Source organism: Homo sapiens, chromosome 5, assembly GCF_000001405.40.
Source record: "Homo sapiens chromosome 5, GRCh38.p14 Primary Assembly".
Taxonomy (NCBI): Eukaryota; Metazoa; Chordata; class Mammalia; order Primates; family Hominidae; genus Homo; species Homo sapiens.
This window is the reverse complement of record NC_000005.10, coordinates 55528227-55535732: the sequence shown is the minus strand read 5'-3', so window position 1 is coordinate 55535732 and position 7506 is coordinate 55528227. Positions and strand designations below refer to the sequence as shown.

Below are 7506 nucleotides of genomic sequence, written 5' to 3'. Positions count from 1 at the left end.
GTGACGGTGGATGGAAAATTACTAAGAGGAGACATCAAGGGTAGAGGGATTCTGGCTAAAGGCAGGTCAAGGGCTTCTACAACAAAGGTGTAATATAAGGAATCTAATCCGATATTAAATATCAAGAATTCAACGGTGATCAGGTATCGAGGATGGATGATTTAGCATGCTTCTTGCTAACATTTGGGCTCAGCCAGGACACAGGGAGGTCAACGTTGAGGCCTAAGTGAGAAAGGGCTCAGAGGTACCAAACTAAAGGAGAGCGTCTCTGTTCCTGCCTACTCTGACCTCTTTTCCCCCCTTAAACTCAGTGGTAACAATCTGACCTGTTTATTACCTCATCCCCATGGAAGGGGTGGGGAGTGGCAGGCAGCCGGTGCTCTAGGATCGTTGGGTAGGGAGCCTAGCTCTCTGAAAGCAGCAATGCCTAGTGGGGGTACCGAGGCCGAGTTCGGAGACCACCTGAGCAATTGCGGTCCAGAGCAAAGCCCCCTGGATCGGAACGGGAGCCGCCCCCACGCCCCGCCCGGCTGCCGAGAGCCGCACTTCTGGGCGGATGCCGCAGGTCGGGAGGGATGAGGCCGACGGCGCTGATTGGCTGACCGCCGCGGCCTGGGGTTTCCCTGGCCCCGCCCCTGCTGCACTCCCCCCGCCCGCGAACCCGCGCGCTGCCCGGTCCTGCGCTGCTCAGCGGGAGGGGCTGGACCCCGCGTTCCTCCTCCCTGCCGGTCCCCATCCTTAAAGCGAGAGTCTGGACGCCCCGCCTGTGGGAGAGAGCGCCGGGATCCGGACGGGGAGCAACCGGGGCAGGCCGTGCCGGCTGAGGAGGTCCTGAGGCTACAGAGCTGCCGCGGCTGGCACACGAGCGCCTCGGCACTAACCGAGTGTTCGCGGGGGCTGTGAGGGGAGGGCCCCGGGCGCCATTGCTGGCGGTGGGAGCGCCGCCCGGTCTCAGCCCGCCCTCGGCTGCTCTCCTCCTCCGGCTGGGAGGGGCCGTAGCTCGGGGCCGTCGCCAGCCCCGGCCCGGGCTCGAGAATCAAGGGCCTCGGCCGCCGTCCCGCAGCTCAGTCCATCGCCCTTGCCGGGCAGCCCGGGCAGAGACCATGTTTGACAAGACGCGGCTGCCGTACGTGGCCCTCGATGTGCTCTGCGTGTTGCTGGGTACGTACGCGCCGCCGGGTCCGAGGGGCGTGTGCGGCTGTCCCGGGAGGGCTTTAGCGCAGAGCCGCGACGGGCAGCGGGGGTGTGTTGCCTGACGCGTGCGCAGCTGTGGGGCGACACACGGGGGCGGCTTCTGCAGCCGAGGGACCCCGCTTTGCAGCCTGCACCCCGGCTCCCGCGTGCCCGCCGCTGTCTGTCGCCCGCCGGTGCGATGAGCCCAGCCCTGCTTGGACGCTGTTCACGCCTCTGCGCTCCATACCTTGCTCCTGTCCTCTGTTTGCAGTTCCACTCTAGCAGAGCAGGGTGGGCTCCTCCCCTCTGTACGGTAGAGGAGCCTGGTCACTGGCCCATCTCAGTAGTGAAACTGGAGGTTTGATGCACAGGGGATTCTCAGTAGCAGGCGCCAGTGCCTGATTTATCGTGAGAAGCAGTTTAATATTTCGGCTATAAAAGGCTAGAACTAGTTCCTAATTAGAAGGTGTGCCAGGTTGTAAATTGTCAGGTTGCAAGTAGGGATGAGCACGCCAAGTTTTTGCGTATAGGTCTAAAGAAGTTTTGGGGGTGGGGGAGGATGCGGTACCCCAGACCTGTTTCCTTGTCTGCCCAGACCTTGCCATGGTGTAGCTTTCCATCTCTTGTGACAGTGTCTCAAGGAGCAGTAGACATTCTTTGGCTGCAGCAGATTTCGCATTGTCTTCCTGATTGGAAGAGTTCAGTTATGAGGCTTCTGGTTGCCAGTTACTCCTTTCTTTTGAAGAGAAAGAACTGGAATCATTTGGATAAGGGATGGGCGTTGGAAGGAGTAGTTTTCACTTTTTATGTATTGTATAAGGCAGTTATGCTGTGAACTATTTATATATGATGGAATAAACAAAAACAAAGCAAGAGCTGCTGGAGGTTTGGATAGTCCTACTCATGTTGAAGTAATCAGAATAGTAGTAGTATTGGCAAGTTCTCAGGGTGGGAGATCTGTGGCTTTAGCCACCTGGATGGAAGTCTGCGTAATGGTTTCTCAGTGACAGGAGATTCCCTCGGTTTTAATCCAGTAGTTCCTAGTTATTCCACTCTCCAGTTTCCAACCGGGTCATTTAGGCCCTTGCAATCTTGTGGAATTCTTATAAATTCTGTTACCAGGTTTTGTTGTTGTTGTAAGGAAAAATTCCATTTTGTTATCTTTTTTTTTTTTTTTTGGATACAGTCTCTCTCTGTCACCCAGGCTGGAGTGCAGTGGCGGGATCTCGGCTCACTGCAGCCTCTGCCGCCTGGGTCCAAGTGATTATCCTGTCTTGGCCTCTCTAGTAGCTGGGATTACAGGCACCGCCACCATGCCTGGCTAATTTTTCTGTTTTTAGTAGAGACAGGGTTTCTCCATGTTGGCCAGGCTGGTCTCGAACTCCTGACCTCAGGTGATCCGCCTGTCTCAGCCTCCCAAAGTGTTGGGATTACAGGTGTGAGCCACAGCGCTGGGCCCTAAAACTGCATTTTGTTACCTGTTAATATGAAGCATCTTTGTTGTTTCCCAAGACACTTCCTGTTTAGGTCCACAGTGAGTTTTAGGAATTAAGTTTAGGAAAGTGGAACACAATTTTGGCACATTGTCTTTTTTTTTTTTTTTTTGGAGACGGTCTTGCTCTGTCGCCCAGGCTGGAGTGCAGTGGCGCGATCTTGGCTCACTGCAACCTCCGCTTCCCGGGTTCAAGCAGTTCTCTGCCTCAGCCTCCTGAGTAGCTGGGATTACAAGCACATACCACCATGCCCGGCTAACTTTCGTATTTTTAGTAGAGACGGGGTTTCACCGTCTTGGCCAGGCTGGCCTTGAACTCTTGACCTTGTGATCCACCCGCCTTGGCCTCCCAAAGTGCTGGGATTACAGGCGTCAACCACCGCGCCCAACTGAACACTGTCTTTATAAAAACACAGTCCTTTCAGATGTCGGGACTTATTAATAATTAAATATATTCAAATTTATTTGCAACAAAAAATTACCTTTCATAGAAATGTTACATTAAAAAATATATTTTAACTTATACTTGATGTCATTGGAACTTTGTTAAACTTTGTTTATATTTTAGTGAAAGGAGAGGAAAATGTTCGATCAGAAAAAAATATATTTCTAATATATTGAATATTATCCTATCATTGCCACATATTGTGCACTATCAGAATTACATATCATCTTTGTCTTTTCCTACTGTGGGAGTTCGATCAATTTGTAAAACAACATAAATTTTTTTCTATGGGCCAAACAGTGATTAGAATGGCTGAAACATAATACTGCTCTGAGGTAGCTGAAGCTAATGGTATTAAACACAAAGCCATATGGTAGATCTGCAATTAAAAAAAAAATCACATATAATGGAGGAACTGACATGCAGTACAATTTTATAAATTATGGGTTGTTGTAGCCTGTAGTTTTAACATGATACAAACATCACATAATTATCCTATAAAGGTTAATTTCATTGCTACATTGACCTGACAGTTGCAGGAGTACAATAGCTGTCAATAAGATAAAATTGTGTTTTTGGTGGTTTTGGAGAAAGCTTTGAGGACTTGTTTTAGGAAAAGGCATTTAATCTATTTACAACATTATGTTTTGGTATTACTGGCATTTCTTTTAAAGTAATTCAGCATATTATCACTATAAGCTCAGAATTCCCTTTTCCTAAATAGAAAGTGACCTATTTTACTGACTTTTAAAAATGTAAGATTACATTACATTTAACAACATCAACTGTCCATTGCAAACAGCAGTGAAGGAGACCAGTGGTGCAGGAGATACAAAACTTTTCACGCTTACTTTTGGAAGACACGTGTTATATAGCAAATGCGCCTTTCTGGTGGAGTCTGTTATATTAAATTTGATTTGTATTCATTTTACTGACAGCAGGAGATTGGTAGCCTAAAATCATGGTAGCTTCAAGAGAGTTTTCAACCTGGCATAAATTTCCTTTTTCTGTGAGGAATCCACAGGTAAGAATTGACTGTTAGAACAAAAAGATGATTAAGCACTTCATAAGTGCAGGGTTTTGTGAAAGTGGTTCATAATTATAATGTGGATACATTCCAGATTCTGTTAATGACCACCTCAACATCATACAGTATAGCCATTTTAATATGATGATGTTACGTCAACCTGTTGTACAACTACTTTATAATTTTACTGTGGGTGATGTGTGTTGAAGTGATCATTAAACATGCCTGTGTGCATGTGTGTGTATATGTTTCTGTCCGTATGTCATCTTTATCATCAGTGTGAAACACGACTTCCTCTATATACACGTTTGAATTATTAGTTCCTTAAGTGGATCTGATAAATCCTTGGAAAAAGAAGGAGAATTTTGAGAAGTCCTGTGTGTTAGTTCCTCAAGTGGATATGGTAAATTCTTGGAAAAAGAATGAGAATTTTGAGAGATAATGTATATTTGATTCCTTTCTGAAATGGAACATAGTCTTGCCATCTGTCTTTGGCTCTTTTTATGACTGGTTCTGTGACTATAGAACAGGCCATATACATTATCTGAGCGCATGAGAAAAGCTCTACAGAGAATGGTGGTAGGCTGGTATGAAAGGCGCGATGTTGTTGTAGGGCATCGAGCCCCGGGCCGTCACCGTCACCTCGGCCGCTGCCGCTGTCACCATGTCACCATCGGGGCCGCTGCCGCTGTCACCATCGCCTTGTTCCCCCATCCCCCGCCATGGCTGAGGACCTCTCCGCGGCCACATCCTACTGCCCCGTCTGTCAGGAGGTGCTCAAAACGCCCGTGCGGACCGCGCCCTGTCAGCACGTTTTCTGTAGAAAATGTTTCCTGACTGCAATGAGGGAAAGCGGAGCACATTGTCCCCTGTGTCGTGGAAATGTGACTAGAAGAGAGAGCATGCCCTGAACGGGCCTTAGACCTTGAAAATATAATGAGGAAGTTTTCTGGTAGCTGCAGATGCTGTGCAAAACAGATTAAATTCTATCGCATGAGACTTCATTGCAAATCTTGTAAGAAGTATCAGGATGAATATGATGTTTCTTCTATCATTCCAAACTTTCAGATCTCTGAAGATTCAGTAGGGAACAGCAATAGGAGTGAAACATCCACATCTGATAACACAGAAACTTACCAAGAGAATACAAGTTCTTCTGGTCATCCTACTTATAAGTGTCCCCTGTGTCAAGAATCAAATTTTACCAGAGAGCGTTTACTGGATCACTCTAACAGTAATCACTTATTTCAGATAGTTCCTGTGACATGTCCTATTTGTGTATCTCTTCCTTGGGGAGATCCTAGCCAGATTACCAGAAATTTCGTTAGTCATCTAAATCAGAGACATCAGTTTGATTATGGAGAATTTGTGAATCTTCAGCTAGATGAAGAAACTCAATGTCAAACTGCTGTTGAAGAATCATTTCAAGTAAACATCTGAAGGCTGTAGACATCTCTGCATCTTTGTACCTGCAAGTGCCATCTTTAAGGGGGAAACTACATGAAGTCACCGTTTCAGTAACTTGATGTGTATATTAATAAAAGTAATTCAGTCATTTTAGTTTTTGATTGAAAATAAAGGTAGGGCTTCTAAAAACTTCATCCTCTTGGTAAGTTAAAAAATGAAAGTTATGACATTAGCTTTAAAAGCGTAAAAGATGTTTCACTAATGTAATGGTGAAAGAGAATCCCTGTTGTACTTTATCTTTTTGTAATATTAAATATTCTTGAATTTTTCATTATGTTGCTTTTGAAATTTGGTACATTCCTCCCATTTACTTTATTATTGTACACATTAAACACACAGTAGCAAATTTTGAACGATGTGATATAATCTAACAAATCTGAGCCAGTTATTAGAGTTGCAGAATAGAAACTTGAAGTGCTAAATGGAAAAATCCAAAGGAAATTTTTTAAATGCAGATTCTAGCTGAAAAATTCAACTATAAGAAAATCGTATTTATATAACATTTACTATTTTTGAAGACTAGTAATAATTTTAATTCTTTAAAAAGTGAAAGCTTGTTGTAAAGATATTTTCTTTTTGTTATTAGAAGGAAATACAGAGAGAAAAATTTATTTCTTTCATGGGCATTTGGTAATTTCAGTCTTTGACTGATTTGTAAGCCTAGAATATACTAAGCTGAATAGCAGCTCTTTGGCCTCAGAATTTTCAGTAGCCAGTATTTCTGATTAACTAAGTTGAAACTCTTATTAGAAACTTTCAGTTGGTATTACTGTATTCTAGAAGATATAAATGAGAGGTTTGGCTTCATCTCAGTTTAGAAATTTATTCAAAGCTAAAGATGTATATGTATATATATATACTTTTGTGTGTATATATACACGTATGTGTGTATGCAGTTTTTCAGGTTATATATAGAGTTTCTATAAGGATTTTTTAAATGGACAAGCAATAGGGGGTTGAAGTGTTTATCTGATTTGTTAAAATTTTGTGTATAACCAGATTTTTAAAAAGTGATAGTCACAGTGCTAAGTGATCTAGTTGGCTGCTATTACACCTTAGAAATTGAGTTTACACACACACACAATTACCTGTTTGTATGGTGCTCATTTCTTATTCTCAGATATAATGTGTGACCGTGATACAGTGAGAAAGATTCTACCAACCACTGTTTCACTACTTTTTAGTCAAAATTGGGTATGTTCTTAGTATTCATTAGTGAGAATCATAAAGTATTTTGTAGAAGGCCCAAATCACAGAATAAAGGACTAAGAGTGGATTCACTGACATTCCATACTAATATACATTGTTTATGCTTTCTTTAAAATAACTAAAAGAACATAAAAGAGAATCTCAGTAGTTTGCTGCTAATATATACATATATTGTATAAAAAGGTATATTTTGGTTTTGTTCTACACTGAACATTTTTTAAACTTGGTTTAATAAAAATGTTAATTTTGGAAAAGGCGCGATGTTTTAGCCCAGTGTATTAAACCATATCCTGAATACAACTTATTAGTGTTTAATTGCTAAGGGTCATTTCAGATTTTAGCCACTATGGCATTAGGCTGCCGATTAATGGACACTGAGTCCATTAATTTATTCAATGCATATTGATGGAAGGCTAGCTTCGTGGCCAGTACCATGTTAGGTACTAGGGATACAAAGATGAATAAGATAATCCCTGCCCTGAAGGGCTCAGAGTCTAATGATGAAGAAATAAACAAGTGGTTATAATACATCATGATAAGTACGATAATGGAGGTTTGGAATATGTTCCCTTTGAGCAAAGACGAGAGCCTTGTCTTAGATCTGCTCCATTGTAGATAAATGATTTGTCTGTTTACTCTTAGAGACGCAGAAAGGTCAGAAGTTACCTGGAATTACTCGTAGCTGCTGCTGCT

The 7506-nt window shown here is 43.4% G+C and overlaps 1 protein-coding gene and 1 pseudogene across 5 annotated transcripts in view, besides 2 other annotated features; both read left to right on the top strand.

Annotated features, from left to right (window-relative positions):
* Positions 247-316: an enhancer, noted in NCBI's record as "active region_22555". NCBI's record gives its function as "activates an Ori minimal core promoter by ATAC-STARR-seq in GM12878 lymphoblastoid cells {active_cell/tissue: GM12878}" and the evidence as "EXISTENCE:reporter gene assay evidence [ECO:0000049][PMID:35858748]".
* Positions 547-1186: a silencer, noted in NCBI's record as "silent region_16016". NCBI's record gives its function as "represses an Ori minimal core promoter by ATAC-STARR-seq in GM12878 lymphoblastoid cells {active_cell/tissue: GM12878}" and the evidence as "EXISTENCE:reporter gene assay evidence [ECO:0000049][PMID:35858748]".
* PLPP1 (phospholipid phosphatase 1) overlaps positions 769-7506 on the top strand; it is a 110111-nt gene continuing 103373 nt past the window's right edge. For all 4 annotated transcript variants that reach the window (NR_103485.2, XM_006714724.4, NM_003711.4 and 1 more), the window contains exon 1: positions 769-1161. Coding sequence is in view for 3 of the 4 variants with exons in the window: in NM_003711.4 (NP_003702.2) it covers positions 1104-1161 (58 nt within the window). In the remaining variant the exon portion in view is untranslated. The remainder of the gene's footprint in view (positions 1162-7506) is intronic.
* On the top strand, positions 1191-6891 carry RNF138P1 (ring finger protein 138 pseudogene 1; annotated as a pseudogene). Its single transcript, NR_001575.1, has one exon. The product of NR_001575.1 is annotated as a ring finger protein 138 pseudogene 1 (transcript).